Source organism: Homo sapiens, chromosome 6 (genome assembly GCF_000001405.40).
Source record: "Homo sapiens chromosome 6, GRCh38.p14 Primary Assembly".
NCBI classification, from domain to species: Eukaryota; Metazoa; Chordata; class Mammalia; order Primates; family Hominidae; genus Homo; species Homo sapiens.
In genome coordinates, this window is record NC_000006.12 from 23,379,319 (window position 1) to 23,404,304 (window position 24,986).

At 36.0% G+C, this 24,986-nt stretch overlaps 2 long non-coding RNA genes across 4 annotated transcripts in view; one reads left to right on the forward strand and one right to left on the reverse strand.

Annotated features, from left to right (window-relative positions):
• LOC102724749 (uncharacterized) overlaps window positions 1-24,823 on the forward strand; it is a 66,451-nt gene extending 41,628 nt beyond the window's left edge. Inside the window, exons 3-7 of one of the 2 annotated variants that reach the window (NR_187790.1) lie at window positions 15,486-15,636; window positions 17,936-18,160; window positions 19,612-19,804; window positions 23,623-23,805; window positions 24,546-24,823. This is a non-coding gene — a long non-coding RNA (uncharacterized LOC102724749). The remainder of the gene's footprint in view (window positions 1-15,485; window positions 15,637-17,935; window positions 18,161-19,611; window positions 19,805-23,622; window positions 23,806-24,545) is intronic. The other variant, NR_187789.1, reaches the window with a different exon arrangement.
• Window positions 1-24,986, reverse strand: part of LOC105374976 (uncharacterized) — a 289,589-nt gene that overhangs the window by 42,573 nt on the left and 222,030 nt on the right. The window lies entirely within an intron of this gene.

The following is a 24,986-nucleotide window of genomic DNA, read 5'->3' on the forward strand; positions in this document are numbered from 1 at the left end:
CCATAGCTTCCTCAGCATTTGAAGATGGAACAGTCAAGCTGAGTTACTGTCTAGATAGGAAGAAAAATGAACTATTAAAACTGCAGAAAATGGTAAAGCTGATAAATTATATTGTATCCCTGTCAGCTGTTTTCTTACCGTAAACTCTGGGATAGGAGTAGATTGATTTAAAGGATAAGAAAATAAAAGGGACTTGAAGGAGAGGAAAATGTTTATTGAGAAAGTGATAGAATCACATATAGGGAGTGATCTCTTATCACTTGAGAAAACAATGAAATTCAAAATATCGTATTCTTTCTTTATCAAATACTATATCTCTGAACCAAAAGTAGACAAATCAAGCCTCAGAAGGATCGAAAATATAGTAAACAGGAAATCAGTCCTAATGCTGTCAATAAGAAAGTTATTTCCCAGTAACCCTGCCCAAACTCCCATCTTTCTATTTTCCCTCAGATCTGGAAGCACTTCAAGTCATCATCGAAACCATAGACAGTTGTCAGTTCCTGTTGTTACTCTGGGCTGTGAGTGGGCCACACCCGGGGAACACTCTCCAAGGTCCTTCAGACTGGGCAGCCACTTAGTCCTCAAGGTACTGCTACATTTTTAGGGTTTGTAGTGGTAGACCCCCAGTAGTCCCAAGTACCCAAATCTCTTCCAGTTACTATGGCTGCATAACAAAGCATCCCAAAACTTAGTGGCATAAAGCAACCATTTCTATGTTCATGGATTGAGTTGTTCAGGTGTTTGGACAAAATGCAGCGGAGATAGCTTCCTCTGCTCCCTGATGTGTTCTGAGGTCTCAGTGGAAGACTGGAAGTTTGGAACTAGGATCATCTGAAGGTACTGTAGTCACTTAATGTGTGGTTGTTGATGCTGACTGGTCTGGGAGCCTTGGTTTCTCTCCCTGTGGGCCTCTTCATTTGACCTCTCTAAGTGAACTTGTTTGGGCTTCCCTTCAGCATGGTTGCTGTATTCCAAGGGCAAATATCCCAAGAGAAAGACAGCCAAGAGGAAGCTATGTGGTCTTTCCTAATCTAGCTGTGGAAGTCATGTAGTATTATTTCTGCCCAGAAATAAAAGTGAAAAACCTGCCCAGGTCCAAGCAGAAAGGGAGGATGAGAGGAGGCTTCCCCTCTTGATAGGAAGTTGGCGAGGTTCTGGAAGAGCATGAGGGATCAGAAATATTGCCATGATGTTTTTTTGAAAATATAATATGCTCCAATGAGGAAACTATAGCATAGAGTAGTTAAGAGATTTAGTCAGCAGATCCACAGCTGGTAAGGTCTGGGGCAGAGAACAAATCCTTCTTTCAATTATGCAACAGTAAGGACGTACTAACCCCAGCTGAATGGGAGTTGCCCTTGGTGATGGTTAATACCAAGTGTCAACTTGACTGGATTGAAGGATGCAAAGTATAATCCTGGGTGTGTCTGTGAGGGTGTTGACAAAGGAGATTCATATTTGAGTCAGTGCATTGGGGGAATGAAGACCCACCCTTAATCTGGGTGGGCACCATCTAATCAGTTGCCAGCGAATATAAAGCAGGCAGAAAAACATGAAAAGGCTAGACTGGCTTAGCCTCCCAGCCTACATCTTCCTCCTATGCTGGATGCTTCCTGCCCTCGAACATCAAACTCCAAGTTCTTCAGCTTTGGGACTCGAACTGGCTTCCTTGCTTCTCAGCTTGCAGACAGCCTATTGTGGGACCTTGTGATTGTGTGAGTTAATACTACTTAATAAATTCCCCTTTCTGTATACATAGATATCCTATTAGTTCTGTCCCTCTAGAAAACCCTGACTAATAGATCCTGATGGAGAGGTGACATCTTCAGGGAAATAAAATTTCATAAAAAGACAAAATGAAAGCAAACTGGGGTACTTCACAAAACTGGCATCACACCAGGCTGGTTCATGGGAATTAAATATTATTTGAATGACTTTTGGTCAAGTAGCCATAAAGAAGCTTCCAACTTTAAAACTCTATAAATTTTAAGTTAAGTTTGATCACAATTATGGCTAAGGTTTTTGCAGATGTAAACTGTAGTATTGATTTTAATATGTAAATGATGCGAAAGGAATACTCAGCATATGTATAATCACAAATCAGGACCTACGCAGTGAGATATATGCCAATATCAAAGGATTGCGAGTAGTAGACAAAACATTTCTGCAAGTATTCTAACTAGTTAACATATAAAACATGCTGTAATAAAGTTGGCCTTTAAAAACCTGTGTAGTAATTTCTGATTACGATTGTTTATATTATATAAATCTAAAAAAGATACATAAATTTCAATACAATTATTATATGTAAGTATTATATTAGGAGGGCAACCTCTTTATTAAAAATACCATAGCTGCAAAAGGGTCAGTGATAGGAAAAATATATATCCGTACTACTGGGGAGAAGGAGTTACATTTAATGGGACACTTTAGCCTGTTCCCCGCTCCCCAACAAGAGATTGAGACAAATTCTTGTATTCAGTTAGTGTATGTGGTAATGTGTCTTGGGAGTTGGCGATTCAGAGAGTGGTATAAAAGATCTAGCAGAGAAAAGCAACATGTGGGTGAGGCTTTGTGTTAGCCACTCTATCCCAAAAGAAGCCTCGGAGGACACTAATGAAATAGACCTTAGATCTCCTTCCCTAGGGAATGAAAGAAGAGAAGCTTTTATCTGCTGTCTCCCATCATTTGCTGGACGATGATGGTCAAATGGGCATTCACACTCCTCCACTCCTGGGTTGTGTATGCCTGAGAGCAGAGCAAATTCTCCCCGTTCCCCCATTTCAGGCATTCAGAAGAGCTACAGCAGAGAATGGAGGTATGCAGTACAGGAGTGAGGCAATGTGTCACCCACATATACCTGTGCAAGACTAGAGTAAATTTCTCCTTTAAATTTACGTAAAATGCACAGATCGTAAGGGTTTATTTAAAAGGGTGTTGAGCGTCTTCTATTATAGGCGAAACCATCACCTCATATGACTGTTACCATCACCCTAGAAGGGCTCTAAATTCTCTTTCTCTTCAATGCTTCCCAACTATTTTCTGACTTCTATCACTGTAAAGTGGGGATTTAATTTTAATTTATCTGTTTTATAACAATGTAATAAAAAGTATATGTTCCTCTGTCCATGGCTTCTGTCACTCAACATAATGTTTTGGAAGTTCATCCACGTGATGATGGGTAGCTGTAGTACACTTTTAAAGAAAGTTGTTGGCTAGTATTTTTCTGGTGGAATAGATCACTATTTGCTTATCCAGTTCCTTATTGATGGCATTGTTGTTTCCCGTTTTGCGGCCTTATGAATAAGTTTGCTCTGAAAAATCTTGTACCAGTTCTTTTGTGGAAATATGTTTATATTTCTTTGGCGGGGTAAACACTTAGGAATGGAATTCCTGGGTCATAGAGTATATATTTAGCTCTAGCACAATGGTGCTGAGCAGTTTACGTATGATGGGGCCATTTTACAGTCCCATGAGTTGTTTCAAACCCTTGCCAATGGAGTATGTTTCCTGTTGTTGTTGTTGTTGTTTTTTCAAACAATAATCATTCTAGTGGGTGCAGAATGGTATCTCATTCTAGTTTTAGTTTGCGTTTCCCTAAAGACTAATGAAGTGGAGCACCTTGTTTGCTTACTGGCCATTTTTTATCTTTGGTGAAGTATCTGTTCAAGTCTTTGCCCATTTTTCATTTCTGTTGCTGTGTAATAAATTCCCACAAACGTAGTAGCCTAAAACAGCACAAATTTATTTTGTATTACAGTTCTGTAGGTGAGAAGTCTGATGCAGGTCTCAGTGGGCTGAAATCGAGGTGTTGGCAGAGCTGCACTCCTCTCTGCAGGCTCTAGAGCAGAGTCCCTTTCTTTGCTGTTTGCAATTTCTAGAGGCTGCACATATTCCTTTGCCTGTGGACCCTTCCTCTGTCTTCAAGCCAAGCCTGTTGCATTTCTCTAACCATTCTTCTGTAGTCACAAATCCCTGACTAACTAAAGTACAGAGTAGTCACTCAAAGTAATTTGCTCTGAACTCAGCAAGGAAGGGTTCTCCAATTGTAAGAAGGCTTGTCATGAGATTGAGAGCACCCAGGTCCTCCAAGACGATCTTTCCATCTCCAGATCCTTAATTCAATCACATCACATCTACAAGTGCCGTTTGCCAAGCAAGGTAACATAGTCACAGGTGCTGGAGGTTATAATATAAGCATCTTTGAAGTGGAGGACATTATTCTGCCTACCACAGTCACTTGTTTTTTTTTGTGGTTGATTTTTACATCTTTAAATTTTCATTTTTATGAATTCCAATTTGTCATTTTTTTCTTTTTTGTCCTTTTCATTTTGGTGCTTCTTATATCCTGTAAAAAATTGTCCTATTCCAATGCGATGAACATATGATCCTTTTTTTTTTTCTAGAAGCTTTATTGTTCTAGCTTTTATGTTTAGGTTTATAATTCTTCCTGGATTAAAGTTGTGCATTAAGTAACATCTAGGTCACGGTTCTTGTCTTTAGTAAAAATATTTATTTATTTGTTCCAACACTGTATGTTGAAAGATATCCCCATTAAGTTGAATTGGTACTGTGGCCATAAATTAGTTCTACAGGGTCTATTTGTGGTGGGTTACATTTATCCATTTTTGTGTGCTTAGTACATTACTACACTCTCACGATTACCACAGCACTGTAGCAAATTTTGGAATCAGATAATAAAAAGATCTTTCAATTTTGTTCTTCTTTTAAAAATTCCTTTACCTATTCTAGGTGGTTTACAATAGATGGAAATTTTTTGATTAGCTTGTCAATTTTACCAAAACCCTGATGAAATTTTGAAAATTTGGAGTGAAAGACTATATTGAAAATATTGACTCTCCAGATGGATGAATGTTGTATTTCGTTTCAGTATTTAGGTTTTTCTTATTGTCAAGTTTGGTGAAACTCTTCTAATATTTAACTAATAATTATAATGTCAGATGTAGATTTTCCATAGATGTGTTTCATTATTTAAGGAAGTTTCTCTCATTTTCTAGTTGCTGAGAGGTTTTATTATAAATAGGTGTTGAATTTTGTCAAGACCTCTTTCCAGCATCAGTTGAGATAATCATAGGGGTTTTCTCTTCATTCTGTTCATATGGTGAATTATATCAATCAATTGATTTTTCCTAATGTTAAACCAAGCTTACATTTCTGGGGTAAACCCACTGGTCACGGTGTATTTCTTTCATGATGTCATGATGTATTAGAGGGCTTGATTTGCTAATGATTATTATAGAATTTTGCATGTGTAGCCTGAGAGTTTCTGATCTAAACTTTTTGTTTGGCTGAGTTGTCATTGTCAGACTTGTTTCAACAGTACAGAAACCTCATAAAATGGGTTGGGAGGTTTTTCTGACTGCCCCTAAAATTGGTATAATGTTTCAGTTCTTAAGCTAGAAACTAAGATGACTGTACATCATTCTTTTACAATCAATAAACCAATAAGTATAAATTTTCTTCGAAGCATTGTTTCATCATCATTCTACAATTTTTAATGTTACATTCTCATATTTGTTCCGTTGGAAAGTTTTGAATATCCCTTGTGATTTCTCCTTTCACCATAAATTATTTATAAGTAAGTAATTTCACTTGTTTTCCAAATAAAGTAGATTAATATATTGTTAGCCACAGACATGTTTAAATTTTCATATGAAAGATTCAAATGCTATAGATTGAAATAATTTTACTAATATATTTTGTACATATGTATGTTTTATATATAACATTTAATAATTTAACCCAACATCCAACATAATTTAAATATATAATCATTATTAATATTTTCTTTTAAAATATATAAAAGTCTTTACAATTTTATATGTATTTTTATCCTTACAACACATCTCATTTTGGTTTAACTACATTTCAAGTTCTCAGCCATATGTGTATACTGGCTACCGTATTTGTGACAACAAAGGCTGGAGTTAAGAAGTGAAGTAGAGAGGATTTTGGAAGAGAAAAGAGTCCAGAACAATGGCATTTGTGCAAACAGGATCCTCTCTATTTTGTTAGGCCTGCATTTGGTTTTATAAAAGTATTCTGGATACTTTTACAACATTGTCTATTGAAGTTTTTATTGAAGAGATATTTGTCACAAACAAAAGACACATTGAGAACACAAATCGCACATTGAGGACATTGAACATACTTAGTTTGGAGTATTTTTAAAAGGCAGACAGAAAAGGAAAAACACACAAATTTTTTTTTTTTTTTTTTTTTTTTTGAGACGGAGTCTTGCTGTTTTGCCCCGGCCGGAGTGCGGTGGCGCTATCTTGGCTCACTGCAAGCTCCGCCTCCCGGGTTCACGCCATTCTCGTGCCTCAGCCTCCCGAGTAGCTGGGACTACAGGCGAAAATTATTTTTAAGTTGATCCAGAATTTCAATTTTTTTTTAACTTTTTACTGCCTTGGTATAGAAAAAGATAAATTTGATTAAAGTAGGTAAAAAAATGTAAACTTCAACATTCTGTAAACTAGATTACTAACAACCTTTGAAAATGATTTTTCTGTTAGCATGTGTAAAACTTTTGATAATTTATCCATAATTAATTATTTTTCTTTTATTTCAGTGTTAAATAGGATAGTAACGCTAGGTAAGATATGTTTACATCTATTCACCCATTCTTTTTCTTGTATGTCTCTAATCAATGATTATGTTGGAGAAAGTCTATGTTTATAATTGCAGAAACTGCCAAAATAATTTCCCAAGACCTTTATTTTATAGCTTTCCAAAACTAGAACAGTAAGTTTAATTTCAGTCTGTAAAATGAAAAAGTTACAGCTAGTGTTTAATATTGCTATCAGAGAGATTAGACCATAATAATTTCAGGGGAATGTTAACTTTTTCTAATGATAAATGACATCTCTCAATTTACTAAGCTAATGTTACTGATTGACTGTCAGTAGAATGGGAGATATGAGGATTTTTTCTAGTTGTAGTATTTGCTTTTTAATTTATACTGTAAACTAACTTTCCCAATCCTAGAACCAAGCCCTTCCTAAGTAGGGGCTCCATAAATGTTTATTGACTTGACTGATACATCCCAAAAGAGAAGAAGCATAGCTGGAGTTCGATTATGGTCCGTAATAATGTAATCACCCGGCCCCTAAGTATGCCGAATCTGTAACCATGTTAGTATGTGCCCTCAAACCAGTTAAACATAGTTGACCCTTGAACAACATGGGTTTGAACTTCATGGATTCACTCACATGTGGATTTTCTTCTGCCTCTACCACCCTTGAGAAAGCAAAACCAACCATTCCTCTTCCTCTTTCTCCTCCACCTACTCAAAGTGAAGACAACAAGGAGGAAGACCTTTATGTTGATGATCCAGGTCCACTTAATGAATAGTAAATATATTTTCTTTTCTTTTCTTTTTTTTTTTTTTTGAGACAGGGTCTTTCTTGCTCTGTCATCCAGCACTGGAGCAATCACAGCTCACTGTAGCCTCAACCTCCTCTGGGCTCAAGTGATCTTCCTGCCTCAGCCTCTGGTGTACCTAGACTACAGGCACACACCGCCACACTCGGCTGATTTTTTTCTTTTTTGTGGAGATGGCGGTCTCACTAAGTTGCCCAGGCTGGTATCGAACTCCTGGCACCAAGTGATCCTCCTGCCTAGGCTTCCCAAAATGCTAGGATTATAGGCATAAGCCACTGGGGCTGGCCTCTTTTATTGTGACTCTCCTAGTAACATTTTCCTTTTTATAACTTAAGAATACAGTATGTAATACATACAGCATATAAAATAAGTGTTAATCAACTGTTTGTTTATGTTATTGGTGAGGCTTCCAGTGAATAGTAGGTTATTAGTAGTTAAATTTTGGAGTTGTCAAAAGTTACACATAGATTTTCAGCTGTGGTGGTGACAGTGTCCCTTCCCCCATTTTGTTCAAGGGTCAAGTGTAATTGCATCAAAAAAATCTAACATCTGCATAGATGTATAAAGCATCAGTAATAACATCCAAATTTTCTATTAAAATATCCATATAAGACACAATTTAGTAACCCATAGTCCTTAGTTCTAGTTGTGACTGTCACTAATGAAGTAGTAACATAAAGTAGACCTTTGACATCTTTGTTCCTCAGTTACTTTAGCTGCTAAAAGATAAGCCACTTTATTATGTTCCTAAGGATTGCTGGACGTTTAAAATGAAATAACAGATGTGAAAGCAATTTCTACATTTATAGGTGTATCATATATTCACACAACATGTGTTGTTAATATCATTGCACGTTCTTAGATGATTGATGCACAAAGACGTCACTCTCCAATGCAAATGCTCGTTCATATGGATAAAGTCTGTAATGGCATGTGGGTAACAGAGTGAGAATGGGCTAACATAAGATGTATACCTAAACTTTGAGGATAAAGGACTTTTTTGTGTTTTGCTTCCACTCTAAAACTGAACTAAATATTTAGTAGGCATTTCTATTAGATGTTGCTTTTATTTATATTAATTATATTTGTGTATGCCTATATATGTGTATACACATGTGTATATATACTTACATATACATGTATTTATTTAGATTTATTGCATGTCATCAGGAAATATCCACAACTTACAATGACTGATTCCTAGTTCATAATATGTTTGAGGAGGCAAATCTTAAATGAGTATTTAAAATCAGCTACTTTCTAAGTGTATGGGAGGAAAATATGAGAATCTATTATGTGATGTTTGCACAAGATTAAGACAAATTCTTCACTTCTTTAGGTGTTGTGACTTACCACTCATCAGTCTCCACTATCCCCAATTTCATTTTGTATGTGCATTTATACTGGAAAAAGAAAGAGTCAGCAATTCCAGCAGCTCGATACCACTCTCAACCCTTTCAGTGTGGAGCACCACCACATTTGGATTGCAGCTTAAAGGTCTCGTTGATAGAGTCACCCCATGTAAGACATTCGGGGTTTAAACAAGTCACATTTGCAAGTAACATGCGCGTAGTTCTTGGGGCAGCATTCATTTGTTTCAACCTTCTCACCTTCCCCTCTCCATCTTCATTCCACCTATATAAATAGCGCTTAGCTTCTTTTGAGCTTAACGAACATTCTTAAATGTTATGAGAAAATAGCAGAGTCAGGGAAAAATACATGCCATAAAAAATGTGCAAGTGAAGTAGCATTGTCACTGCGTCTGTTCCAGTGCAGATCACAGCTCGATGGCCTCAATGTGAGTCCTTCTGCGCCCAGTAAAAATGAAAACAACATTGTAATAAATTAGCTGGAACTGCACTTCCCTAGGTGTTCAGTGACAGCTTGATAAATAACCCCAGGCACTACAATTTGGCTTTCCCTCTGCCAGGGTTTTCTGCCATAATATTTTCAGGCCTTAAGTCATGGTCATCAACACTTGATTAATACAGGGAGGGACGGTTAAGATAACATGAGGGATGTATTTCCTTGAACAGGATAATGTGGCAACAGTATAATATTTTATCTGGGTTAAGCATTTATTGATCATTACAAGAATGAACATTCTTATATATAATTAGTAACCGTAATGTCCCATAGAGGCACGTTGTAGGTTTGTTTTTGATGATTGAGATATATTTCCTTATCTTCTCATTTTCTCATTTTGTGACAGGGGTACTTAAATCTCAAATCTCATAGCACTATTTTTGTGTGTCGAGTTTATTCCGCAGTACATACTCCATTACATATATATATAAAATATATATATACACACACACATACATATATCTGCACACATATACCTGTATATATAAATTATGTATATAATACAATTGTGTTTTATAAATATTTATACCACATTCACTTAACCTCAGTCCATCAAATAAATTCAGTTATATTTGTATAAGTTTCACAGGGAAAGAATAACTTAGCATATAACTTTTCTATTTAAACTACTATTGTCAGAAATAAATCTGTATTTGCTCTCTGTATCCCAGTCATCTTTATTCTCTGATGAAAAAAAGGTAACCATAAACATTCGTTTTCCATTAATTATTGCACCAGAGAAAAATCAATGTTCAAATAAATAACAATAAAACTGATTTGTACTGAATAGCAAAGCTGGATAAAGGAAGAAGAAATCATTTGTTTTTATTTTTGGAGGGATGGCTTGCATAATTAACTAACTTAACTCTAAGATGCTGAACATAATGTAGTCACTCTACATACATTTATTTATTGGAGCACTTCCCATCCCTTAGGCCCTATAGAATATAATGAGTTTAGACCCCATGCTTCCCTCTACTTGGGCTGAGTGTGTTTGCTGTGTGAGCACAGCTGTGCTGTGTTTCTGCGTATACATTTAAAGAGAGCAATAACAACAACTGTTACATATTCAGTAGCTAATATGTACTGGGTACTGTTTTAAGAGTTTTACATTTTTATCTCACTTAGTTTGCAAAATGACTATATTGGGTAGGTATGTTCTATCCCCTTTTTAACGATGAGGAAACGAGAGCAAGTATTTGAGTTAGCTGAAATCACCTAATGAGAAAATGGCAAGATGAGATTCAAAACCAGTAAGTCTGTCTCAGGAGCCTGAGCTCCTGAACAATGAGCTGTACTTCAAAATAAAGGGATTTGGCATTGGAGGCAGAGGAAAAAAAGCATAACAATTGCAAATGGGCTTTCCCCTAAAATACATTTTTTTTTAATTTCTTAAGGCTAAGTATAACTGGATTTCATGGAATCCTTGAAAAATCTCATCTAGGAAATTCTTCTGATTAAATTCATCACACTTCCATCATTCCTTTACTATACTCATTCTATTTCAATAAAGAGTCAAATTCAAATTTGACAGATCTGAATGATCAGAAAAATTGCTGCAGTACATCCAATCATTGTTAACATGGAAACACACTGTTATTGAATATTGAAGGTTTACCCTGCATTAAAAATGAACAGTAAAGGGAGCTTCTTTCTTTTGTCTGACCCAGAGCAGGACTTGCACTTATTCCTTTTGCAGGAAAAATGTTTGACTGGATAGGATCCATGTCTTACTTGTCTTTGTAGTCCTAGAGCCTAGTTCTGCATATGATACATAACAAGCACTCATTAAATATTTGTTACACCAGACATGCCTAATTGACCTCAAGATATTCATCAAAACATTTTATTGCACAATTTAGATAAGTGGAGTGTTCACATAGATTAAGGTCTTAGTTACAAAACCTTTGGGTTACGAATGGCAAAAAACAAAACAAAACAAAAACAAAAACAAAAAACCTTTGTGGCCAGGCACGGTGGCATATGCCTGTAATCCTAGGACTTTGGCATGCCAAGGCAGGCATCTTGAGTCCAGGAGTTCGAGAACAGCGTGGGCAACATAGCAAAACCCCATCTCTACAGAAAGTACAAAATTAGCTGGGCATGGTGGTGCGTGCCAGTACTCCTAGCTACTCAAGAGGCTGAGGTAGGAGGATCTGCCTGAGCCCAGGAGGCTGAGGCTGCAGTGAGCCATAACTGCACCACTGCATTCCAGCCTGGGCGACAGTCAGACCCTGTCTCAAAAAACAAACGACAAACCAAAAATCCCACCTTTGCCTCATCTAAATATAAACTTATGAATTTATTAGAAGGATACATGGGATTCAAGATCAAAAACATAAAACAGAGCACCAGTAACAAACTCGAGTGGCCCCAGTGATTCCCCTCCTCACTCGTTCTTTCAACATTTATTCTCTCTCAGAATCTCTTCATTCTTTCCTTACTTCCTCACCTAGATTTTTCTGCTATGTCATACACATGACAGAAAACAGTCACTCCAGCCCAGTTCCTACATGAGCTCACAGCAATAGCGCCGCCAACTAACTGACTCAGTCTCTCCATGTTCTAAGTTCTTGGAAGCAAGAATTCAATCGGTCTAGTTTGAGTCAGGGACCTATCTCTGGGCTGCCTGGCTCACTGTCCACTCAAAAGAGGCCATGGAAACACATTCTATGAAAGGTGAAAGCAAGCAGCTGCTCCAAAAAGAGAGGTGTGGGGTGCTAAGTCTATAATTGCAGAGAAAATGATTGATTGGCATCTTTAATGCATTTGTATTCATCTCAGCAAAACGGTACCTGTTTGAGATTCTGCCATTTTGCAAAGAAATACGGTTATATCCTCATGTGCAATTTTTATCCAAACTAACCTACCAGAAGATTTAGAGAAAAATCAACTAAATGTTTATTCAAAAACCAAATATTCCAAATTGAGTGAAGTAAAAGTATGTTGCTTCCATTTTGGTCAGTTTATCCGTGTGAAACGGAATAACTATAAAACACCAAAATACTTTCGTCATTTGATCTCTACTTCCGTTGTCATTACTCAAGACAGTTCAAGTCAATATATTCACAACAAGAAAAAAAGTACACAAAATCAAAACACAATCTCATTTATCTGCATTTTAAATGAAACTAGAGAGATGGGGTTATAAATACTAATTTGCCATTCTATTTTCTTTGAAAGAAATGCCTTTATTCTATAATCATATCCATTTTACATTTTTGCATTATTAATAAAACGGATATGGCATCAGTTTTTTTCTTTTTAACATTACTGTTTGGCAAGTTAAAAGGCTGAAGTATTAAATATGCACTGCAAATATTATTTTTGTTTACTTGTTAGTGAAGGAAAAAATAAAACCACTATTCATTTGTAGTAAAAGCACAGGTATAATAAGAAACTTAACACATTAAAAACAGCAAATAGATAGGAAAGAGGCAATAGCAGAGAAGAGGTCAAGAAGGCAAAGCAAAACTTGAAGTTAAGACAACTAGATATATTTCATGGCTCTGAGTTTCGTAAATGCCTAGTCAGGAGAAATTCAACCCTTTTCTCATTCTCATTTTCACATATGGTGGCTGCTGAATAAAAGCCTCCAAAGATGCCCATCCCTTAACTCTGGTTACCTGTGAACATGTTAGCTTGCATGGCAAAAGGGACTTTGCAGTAATGATTCAAGTTAAGGATCTTGGGATGGGGATTGTCCGGGGGAACCTGATCTAATCATGTGAGTCTTTGAAATTGTGGGGAACATTCCTCAACTGCAGAGAGCCTGAGTGATGGCAGCCTCAGGATTCCACACGTTGTTGCTGGTTCTACAACGTAGGGAGCTACATGCAAGGACAAGAACGAAGGCCAAGAAATCGGAAAAGGAATGGAAATGGATTCTCCCCTAGCATCTCCAGAAATAACACAACCTTGCTGACACCTTGCTTTTAGGACTTCTGATTTCCAGACTGTCAGATAACAAATTTTTCTTGTTTTCAGCCGCTAAATTGGCAGTAATTAATTGCAGCAGCAATAGAAAACTAACACAGATCTGAAGACGCAAGACTGTTTATGGAAAGGAAAAAAAAGTGTCCTTGCTCCTGAGCTTAGAAAGATAACTTTACTCCTAGAAGCTTTATAAAAGGTTAATTAAGCAAGCTAATGAACCATGATCCCAATTGCAATTTTTCAAAACAAAACAAGACAAAATAAAAAGCCAAAGAAAATTGCAGAGGCATTCTTCATATGGCTGTCCTGTTTATTTTTATTCATTAATTTTATTACGTTTAAGATTCTATCTTATTATCTTATTTTTAGTAATAATTTTAAAGTGAAAAATGACCCACAGTAGGAAGTCAGAGGGATGGGGTTCATAGATGAAACCTGGAGAACTTTAAGGAACAAACAAACAGTTAACATAGCCCCAGCTAAAAAAAATCCTTAGATATTAAAATGACATTCATCTCTTACAATAAAAATAATGATAGCATCCTACTGTCCTTTAGGATCATGATTTTGATACCTGAACGGTAGCTTTTTTGACATGAATTCTCTGGAACATACACACTTAGAGAATGGCCTTAAAACAAGGTGTACCTCTGATTTGTAGTAGTCAGTGTATCATGAAGTATACAGTGAGTTGTTAAAATATGGTAAATATTTTAAATAATAATTAAAGTCTTAATCCAAGAGACCATATTGACAGAACTACACACGTTCCTACATTTTAAACTTTTAGGTACAGGCAGTTCTCACTTGGCTGAGCAGAGTGATGCTGTAAATATGACTGTGCAGGGCAAAACTATGCAATATGATCATATTTATCAGTGGGGAAAAGTACAATTGTCATGTGACCTTAAAAAATTTTGCCAACACGTTAAAAACCTTATTGTCAGTTATAAATGTATAGAGGAATGAAAAATAGTAAAACCAATATTTATGTAGTACACTGTCATTTCAAACGCTAGATACACTGAAAATTACTGCTTTAGGCTGGGCCCAGTGGCTCATGCCTGTAATCCCAACACTTTGGGAGGGCGAGGAGGGAGACTTGCTGGAACCCAGTAGTTAGAGATCGGCCTATGCAAGATGACAAGACTCCATCTCGAAAGGAAGGAGGGAAGCTGGGAGGGAGAGAAGGAAGGAGGGAAAGAGGGAAGGGAGGGAGGGAGGGAAGAGAGGGAGAAAGGAAGGGAGGGAAGGAAAAAGGAAAAGGAAAGAAAAGAGAGTGGGAGAGAGGGAGGGAGGGAAAGAAGGGAGGGAGTGAAGGAAGAATAAAAGGAAAAGGAAAGGAAAGGAGTGAGGGAAGCAAAAAGGAAAAGGAAAAGGGAAATGGAAGAAAGGAAGAAAGGAAGGGGAAAGGAAAGGAAGGAGTGAGGGAAGCAAAAAGGAAAAGGAAAAGGGAAATGAAAGAAAGAGAGGAAGGAAGGAAGGGGAAAGGAAAGGAAGGAGTGAGGGAAGAGAAAAGGAAAAGGAAAAGGAAGAAAGGAAGCAAGAAAGAAAGAAGGAAAGAAGGGAAGAGAGGAAGGGAGGGAGGGAGGAAGGAAGGAAGGAAGGAAGGAAGAAAAAGTTAGCTGCGCACTGTGGTGCATGCTTGTAATCCCAGCTCCCTTGAGTCCAGGAGTTTGAGGCAGCAGTGAACTATGATCATGCCACTGCCTTCTAGCCTGGGTGATGAAGCGAGACCTTTTCTCTGAGGAAAAAAAAGAAAATTACTGCTTTAGTTCTTTGTAAAATGCTGATCTAGAGTCATTTCCACAATGCTTGCCTTCTAATAGCATAAATTACAGTAAGCAGTGAGCATCTTTTCTACATTTTAGTAGATTGCAGTTTTCCTTTGCTAAGTTTCTATTAGCTGTAAACATTGTATCATTTAGTTTCCAATGAGATAAAATATCTCTGAGATTTTCTTTTGTGTGAAATTTTGTGTTAGCGTCACTTGATCTGGGACATCTTTATCCTTTTGATTACAATTGCTTTCCTCATTAATGTCAGTAAGTTTGCCTTTGCAGTGATTCTCTGTTTGTATATCTAGAGTCCAGGCAGCTTATGCAGAGTGTAAAATCTAGGGCAGCAGGGTCAGCATCCCTAGATCAGCTATTTCTTCTACAATTCCATGTATGTTCAATCCAGATTTCACTTCCAGTGTTAGCATGTTTTGTGTCTTTGCTGCATTTCCATCTTTGATGGCCAGTTCCCAACTTGGAGTATCTATTTTTTTGCAGTCATGTGGTGTTAGCACGGAGATGAGAAAGAGAGAAAGACAACATCATGCTTTGCTGTCTGTGTGTGAACTGAGTAACAGCTGTGAAGGATCAGTCACCAAAAGACTTTGAAAGAAGAGGCTTGATTGGTCACGGTAATGATGCTCCCCTGGTATGTAGTGATGTGTGAGCTGATAGGCTAGCAGCAAAGTTTGCAATTTATGCAATTACTTACAGTTAATATGCTATGGTACCTGAAACTTGAACATATCATTGGGAATTGGCATTATTTAACTAAACCAGGATAACTGAAATCTGTGCATATCACAACAACTGGGAAAAGCAAGAACTGTCTGTATTGTGATCTTAATGCACAAGGAGTTTGAATAGTGAAAATTGCCAGTTTTAAAGAGAAAGAGAGAGACAGGAGAGAAAGGGGGATATTTGTTAAAAACAAGCAAAATTCAATTTTTTAGAAACACATTAAAGGAATTGAAAATGTTATTGAATACATTTAATATAGATAATTCCATGCAATATGAGATTAAGAAGTAGGCAGATAACATAAAAAGAAATATTCTACTTATCTTCAACTTAAGTGACAAAAAGGGGTCCTTAAAAGAAATCAATACAGAAGGCCAGAGAGACAGGGACTGGGGAAAAAGCCAGCCAACAGATGCACACAGGACATAAAGGCAGTTTTATAAAAGCAAAACATGCTAGAATTTTTTCCCATAAAGCCCTTGAATAATGATAAATGTGAGTGCTATGTATGTATATTTGGAAAACCAACTGTGCCTTCTGCTTTAGTTGCCTTTTTTGCACCAATAATTTCTTAAACAATATTCTATTTCTACAGCATAACTCTGTCACCGTAGTGTAGCCAAGCTTTTCTTTGACAAATCAAGTACTAAATAATTCATTGCTGCTCTGAGGGGAAAAATATTCTCAGCATACTGCTACGGAAAGTTTCCCTTCCTCAAAAACAGGACAGTTTAACATGGATCTGCAGAAGCATGTCCTCTTCGTGTGCAGGTGTCTTTCAGATGAATCGGGACTGGGTGCACACCTTAGGAAGGGGCTGGACTCACTGGTCAGCTGGCTGTTCATCTTATTAAAATACTTTGCTGTCATTATTATTTATCTGAAGTGAATGGCATTCTATTAATGCCATTAGGCATTAATTAGTTGGGCATAAAATATATTCTTTTACTAAAGAAAAATATAATGATTTAATCTAAATAATAACTGTAGTGGTTTTTTGGGTTTATTTTATGCATTTTTTATATTTATATATTTTGTGCATTTCCAATCCCTTTATTTCAGATAGTTTTTATAAAAAGATGGGAGAAGCCAGGATAGTAGGCAGAGAGCAGGTGTAGCAGGTGTGCTTGAACAACAACAAAATAATGTTGAGATAGAATGGTCTGATGGTTATTTCCAAGAATTAAAATATATTAGGTGTATAGATATTTATTAGTAGTATAGCTATCATGAAAATAAATCATTGCTGAGGATACAAAAAAGTCAAGACCAATTTATTTTTAATTAATTATGTATTTTTCAAAATTCAAAGAATAAAATCTGATTTTATTTTAAAAGACATTCCTCATAAATTTTTTTAATCAACATATATTTGTATTATATATATTTATGGGTACAGTTTGATGTTTTGATATGTGTATACATTGTATAATGATTAAATCAGAAATATCAGTTAGCTGGCTAGATAAATGCATATCTCTTCCTCTCCCATGTACCAGGTACAAAACAAGTTGAAGAAATAATATATACAAACATAACATATTTGTCTTGCATATTTATCTTGCATATCTCTAGGGGTCTTGAAGAGCTTGCAGAATTCATACCATTAATTCTTACTATATCCCTGTGAGATAGAAAGCAAGCAGATATTATTAGACAATAACATAACTAATGTGCACACATGGAAGCAGGAAGGCTGGCAAGTTTTGAGAGGAGGCCTAGCTCAGCTGGTTTTCTGCCTTTGGGGGCAGGAGAATGGCTGCAAGGAAACTGTGCTTGCTCCATAATATACCAGGCCCTTCCTAGCACTGGGAGTCTTTTTTGCCTCTAGTCCTTTAATAACTAAATTTATCTAAGTAACTCCCTAAACTGTTATCTAAGTAACTCCCTAAACTGAATACAAAGATGAATCTTTAAGCAAGTGAACTTTTTGGCTCACTTTTTCTTACTTCTTATTAGCGGATTGTCCTATAGTTTGAGTCCCTTTGTTTATAGCTTATTTACCAAGTCAAAACTGTTAACCAACTGGTACAACTCCAGCTGTATCCCCACAGGCTACAGAGAAATCCAGACCCTCCTCATTTTGTCTCCAATGTAACTGCAAATCCATAAAAGTCGTCCTTCTCATGTTGATTCCTTGGAAAGTCAAGTCCTTTAGAAATTCTAATGAAGAACTAGGTATTTACACTGCTGCTTCCTTACCACAGGCCATGGAAGTTTAATTGGGAGAAAAGAACATCTGCTTATACGAAAACATATTATATTCAGCCATCCCTGCCCTGACTTTGGCCTTTAAAAACAGTGGCATTAATTATCTCAACAAATGAATCTTCGGGATAAAAATAATCTAAATATTATTTTACGCTTACTACATATTTGCAACGTGCTAAGCTCTTTATGGTTGCTACCACAAAAAACATTTATAATATGAGGTGGGTATTTTTATTATATACATTTTCAGTTTAAAGACAGTAACTTCAGAATGTAACTTGTCCTAGTCACACAAAAGCAGGTGTGGACTAAAACTCAAACCCATGATTCTTTCACTTTAAATGATATGGTTCTGAACCATTAAATTCGAATGCTACTAAGAATGGTGAATGCTAAGCAATGTTAAGCTACACATTGTTATTATTAACAAATAATTTCAAAAGGGCAGGAGAGGTAGGTTAAAAATTAAAGGGTTAAGCTGGAATAACATGTCAAATTTCTCAGAGTTTTTTATTTTCATGAAAAAATATATTTTATATTGCAACAGAATGAACTTGACTTAACAGTTTAGGTAGCTGATTGCATATATTTTGATAGTCCTATCATATTTCCAACAAATACATTTTCTCCCCACCCCACCTGCAACTGGAGACTTCACAAGGTTAGGAACAGGCTTCACTTCATTGTGATGTGTGTAAGGTGACAGAGGACATATAACGAATACGTGGAAGAACTAGGAATTTGACCTTAGCTTCCAGACATTTTGAGGAGGATACACTATGTCCATCTTGCTTTCCTATCAAGAAAAGTATACCCAGTTTGTGCAGTAGCCCTGTACCAACAGATACATTACAGCAGGTACTGCTTTCCTCTTTTTTTTTTTTTTTTTTTACTGCTGCAGTTGAAGCTTTAGGTAAAATGTGAGAATAATATTATGGCTACGTCAGGAAAATAATAATGTATTTGATATCAAGGTCTCACTCACCAGTTAAGTAGTGAATAGAATATAAGCCTGGTGAATTTTGACTGTGCCTTATAATTTATTTAAATATGCTTTCACTATTCTGGAATCCTTAGGGGATTATTTCCAGGATTACTGTTTTGCAAATATACAGGTAATGCTAGGGTCTTAAGAACTCTTCTTTTAGGGCTTTACACCAGTTTAATTTCATATAATAGTAATATGAATGATCACAGACCTGCGGGTTCCCGGCTTTGGGTGTACAGTATAATAAATCCAACCAAGGATGGGTAAAGTGGGCTGCAGGTGTTTGTCAAAATACTCACAGCCATTATTAAAACACTGTGAGTTTAGCCAAAATAGAAAGATGTTTACCAATTTCCTTTTTACTCACATTTTTATATCCTTCTGAATTTTACTGAAACATAAGTGTATGCATTGCTGGTTCTTTTTTACTTAATTCATCACAATTACATTTATTTGATTATAATTTCTAAGAGCTCATTTTGTCTGGAGGAATAGCAAGTTATCTTATGCTTGAAAACCCAATTTTATGTATTCAAATAAACAATTTCATAGTGTTTCTTTTATAAGATTTTTTCTTTTATAAGATTTTTATATTGCAAGATTTCCTTTTTTTAAGGCTGAATACTATTCCATTGAATACATATACAATATTTTTTATCCTTTCATCCACCAATGAATATGTAGGTTGTTTCCGTATTTTGGCTATTGTGAATAGTGCTGCAATAAACATGGAAGTGCTGATATATCTTTGAGATCTTGACTTCAAACAAAAGAAGAAAATCTTGCAATATATGACAACACGGATTAACCTGGAGGACATTGTGCTTAGTGAAGTTAGCCAGTCACAGACTGACAAGTACTGCACGATTCCACTTATGTAAGTTTTATTTTTTTAATTTTTTACTTCCATAGGTTTTGGGGAACAGGTGGTATTTAGTTAAATGAGTAAGTTCTTTAGTTGTGATTTGTGAGATTTTGGTGGACCTGTCTCCCAAGCAGTGTACAGCGAACCCAATTTGTATTTTCCTATCCCTCACCCTCCTCCCACCCTTTCCCTCCTGAGTCCCCAGGGTCCATTGTATCACTCTGCCTTTACATCCTCATAGCTTAGCTCCCACTTAGGAGTGAGAACATATGATGTTTGGTTTTCTATTTCTGAGTTACTTCATTTTGAATTATAGTCTCCAGTTCCATCCAGGTTGCTGCTATGCCATTAATTCATTCTTTTTTATGGCTGAGTAGGATTGTATCATATATATACATATACAAATGTGTATATACACAAATATATGTATATATATGTATATGTGTATATATACACAAATATATGTATGTATGTATACACACATACGTGTGTGTATATATGTATGTGTACACACACATGTATGTGTATACACACACGTGCATATATGTATGTGTATATACACACGTGCATATATGTGTATATACACACGTGTATATATGTATGTGTATATGCACACCTATACATATATACACATATATATGTATATGTATATGCACACCTATACATATATACACACGTATATATGTATATATGTATAGACACACACGTATGTATGTATATGTATATACACACACGTATGTATGTGTACACACATGTATCTATGTATATGTGTATATACACACGTGTATATATGTATGTGTATGTATATATACATACATATATGTATATCTTACAATTTCTTTATCCACTCGTTGATTGATGGGCGTTTTGGTTGGTTCCGCATTTTTGCAACTATGAATTGTGTTGCTATAAACAAGAATGTGTGAGTACCTTTTTTGTATAATGACTTCTTTTCCTCTGGGTAGATAACCCGTAGTGGGATTGCTGGATCAAATAGTAGTTCTAATTTTAGTTCTTTAAGGAATCTCCACACTGTTTTCCATAGTGGTTGTACTAGTTTACATTCCCACCAGCAGTGTAGAAGTGTTCTGTTTTTACCACATCCATGCCAACATCTAAGCTATCTAAAATAGTTAAATCAATGGAAGCAAAGAATAGAATTATATTTGTCATGGGCTGGGAGAATTGAGAAACTGGTAGTTACTAATCAATGGGTATAAAATTTTAGTTGTAAAGATGAATAAGTTCTAGAGATCTGCTATACGATATTGTGCCTATAGATAACAGTACTCTATTGTACACTTAAAAATCTGTTAAGAGAGTAGATCTCATTTTAAGTGTTCTTTCCTCACTAACATTTTTAAAAGATATTTATTATATTGTACTTCATGTGTTTCAAGTAAAACTCTATAATAGTTTATGCTCTACTTCCTATTTTCTGACACTATATGGTCCTTAGTAATATAAACTAATAAAAAAGCAAAAAAAAAAAAAAAACCCAAAAAACAAAAAATGAAGCAATAGTTTTAAGTCATAACAGCCCCGGCATATATAACAATCCTCTCAAGTATTCGACATAATTTTAGGAAACAATTTACTCATTACCTAAGTTTCTTAAAAATATTTTTATCAACACCTAATATTTACCAACCTGATGTGACAGACATTAGAGAGCCAATGATGAAGTAGAGCGGGTCATGAGGTCAAACTAATCTACTAATTACTAATTAAGAATTGCTCATTACTAATGAGTAGGGGTACATAGAAGTAAATGATAATACATAATTGGTATTATAATATAGATAATTTTAAATTAATTCAAATAATATTTACTGATCAGTTACTATATGTTCTTGTAAGACCCTGGAAATATAAAGATGAAAAATTATAGTCAGTTCAAGAAATTTATGTTGATGAACAAATCATGGTAGATATTCGAAGGACTGAGTCGTCAATTACGCTTTGGATGGGATCAGGGAGGGATAACAGAGTTGTTGACAATTGTATCTTAAAAAGTAAAGAATAGCTTATCAGATGAAAGCAGGATTGGTAAATAAAAAGATTATTCTAGACCAACTAAATACTTTTAAAGGGATGAAGCTATAACACAATTCGAGGTCTTTGAATGATTTTGTATGATTGGAACGAATAGAACAGGGTTGGCAGGAAATGAGGGTGGGACAGGGAATAACATAGATTCCTAATTGACGAAGCTGTCAGGGACGTGCCAGATCTTTTTGTACGGCAAGCTAACAAATTTAGCATTTATTCTGTGATGACTAAAAGGCACTGAAAGAATAAAACAGCAGTGCATGATATTAAGATTTTTGTCAGGAATAAAGTGATAGCGGCAATATAGAGGGTGGATAGATAGAAGGACAAAAAAGACCAGATTCAATGACAGCCCTCAGTTACCTTTACAGTTTTCTAGACAAGAGATGATAAAAGCTCAAGTGAAAGTATCATGAGTAGAAAGAACAGTAAGAACTATTCAGTCATACAATTTGAGAGGAATTAAAAACCAATTAGATGTGGCATATGAAGAAAAAATTGTTAAGGCTAAATTATCTGGTTTAGGTTACTGCATTGATAGTAGTACTCATTTTAAAAGGACATGAAATTTCAAACATAAACAGGTTCCAGGGAAAATAAGAAATTCAATTTTTAAAATATTGGGTTTGGTGAAAAGTTAGATTTATAATTTAAAACTCAAGACATTAGAGTTAGATCTAGGAGATATCAGCATTTATGTGGCAACCAAATCGCTGGAATAGGGATGACTTTCCAAGGGATCATATAAAAAAGAGCAACAGAGAACCAAGGGAACACATTAGGAAGCATTGTTACTTTAAGGAGCAGGTAAAAAGGAAAGAATACTGGTCATTAAGACAGAGGCAGAAACAGAGAGGCGTGTCATGAAAGCAAAGGAGTTATAAAATCCACATAAAGGTCAAGAGAAAGCAAAACTTCACAAAGACTACATACGGTAAGAACTGAAACACATTCATTGATTTTAGCAATTAATTAAGAGATCACAGATCATCCATTTAGCAGCATTGGTGAGGATAGAAATCAGATAAAATGATGGGAGAAGTAGATGAGATTTAAATGTGTGGACATAGCAAGGAGACTCCTAGGAGACTCTTGTCTATGAAGGAAGAAAGGGAGGCTGATACCAAGAGGAGAAATATAATTTAGAGAGTAAGAGTGGCTGTATCATGTCCAGGGTTTGAGAAAGAAGACAAAGAGGGAATGGATTCATATGCAGGAGAGATGAGATACCTGATGAGAAACCATCCGGGAGAAGCTGGAGTCGAGTAGAATCCAGTATAGGTGGAAGGTTAAACCCTGAAGGGGTGAGGGAGAAGACCAAAATGAAATTTTGGTGCTCTCTTGATACTTAGGGCAAGAAAGTGAGGGAAGTCGTTCCTCAAGGCCTCTTTCTTCTCTGCGAAGGTGGTTTTTGGGTGGTTTCTGATGTTCATCTGGAGGGCCGTGAGGGAAGGGAAAGGCTTGATCACAATGGATAAGGTTTAGAACAGCTATAGGGAGAAAAGGCAGGACATTTAATCAAGAAAGAATTGGAGGCTTGGCTGAGATTTAATATATGTTTAGTGACATTTGTTCATTCATTTACATAATCATTTATTCATCAAATAAATATTTATTGAGCATCTACTATGCCTAGGGATTATCTGATTGTTGAGGAGTTACCAATAAATGAAAAAAGAAATTTCCACTCACATGGAATTGGGGGAGTGGATAAAAAACACAATAAGTAAATCATAGCCTATTCAACCCCGTCACTATTTTCTGCCTTTTTTCCAAAGGAAGACTACAGTTCCTATCTTCACAGGTGGCTGTTAGCTCTAAATGAACTCATTTATTTTGAAAGCATGATTTAAAGTATAGTTTTAAACTATAAGCATTTCAGAAGTGATGACCCATGACTCAAATCTCAAAAATAAATGCTACAGTTCACAGTTGGAATATGGACACAAGAAAAATAATAGGTGAGTAAAAAAAGAATTTTTACCACAGAACAAAAGTTTATTAAACACAATTATGAATGAATATTAATGTCAACAGAGTGCTTTTTAGATGCCTCCTAAGCTTTGTATGCACCTAAAAGAGATACAAGTCAGCTCAGCTGCTAAGGAATAGGCAGACCAGAATGCAGTCAGAGAAATAAACAGTTGAACAGATAATTCCAAAAGGATGTGATAAGTGTTATGGGGGGAATTCGGAGAAAGTGCCGAGGCATCACACAGGAGAGACCAGCTGTCCCTGGCATAGCTGGTGGAGATCTTATTAAACAACGATACTAAGGCTGACTCTTGACTATGAAACGAATTTCACAGAGAAACAAGCAAAAAAGCAATAGAAATATTAATTTGTGTACCCTATTTCATGACAATTATATACAAAAACAGAACGTTCAAAGCCTTAGGCAATAAAACTGATATTTCTTGCAACAGGCTTTGGCCAAAAAAGAGTGCAGTTCTGTGATGAATATCAGCTTCATCAACATGCCCCAGGCACCGTGATGTCCCTCCTCTGCTCTGCTGCATAACAGGGTGGAGACCAAATCCAACAGTATGAACAAGCATCCATCAAAACCACAGTTCTATTATTGAGACCATTTCTGATTGAATTTCCTCAGCAGACTATCCAAGTCGTCATGTTCATCAAGGTATTCAATTTAAATGACCATTAAAACGAAATTAAGTTGGTATTAACCTTGTCTTTTCAGATGATGCCACTGAAAGGTAAACATACCATTCTGACATGCATGAAAATGAAACGACAAATTGATACACGCAGTGCTTGGAATGGATGGAGTCCTTCTAATGAGTGATTACCTGTGGTATAACTATATTGATTGTGTTTGTACATGTCAAATGGGGCTGGCGAGGATGAACTTGAAGAAATCAATCTTGGAACCTGCTAGGACAGCAGCCTCCTGGTTTCACAGTACTAAATCATGACTTCAAAATTTTGAAGTAAAAGAAAACTGCAAAACTTTGTAAAGGTACCAGTCTCTTCCTGACACTATTTGCCTTGGCAAAAGATTCACTGTCAACTTAAAAGACTAACATGTGCTCAGATGATGATTTGTGGAGGACAGATAATTATGAGTACATTTAGAAATACACACTCTTCCAAACCCTGCTCTTTCCATATAATGAAGTTA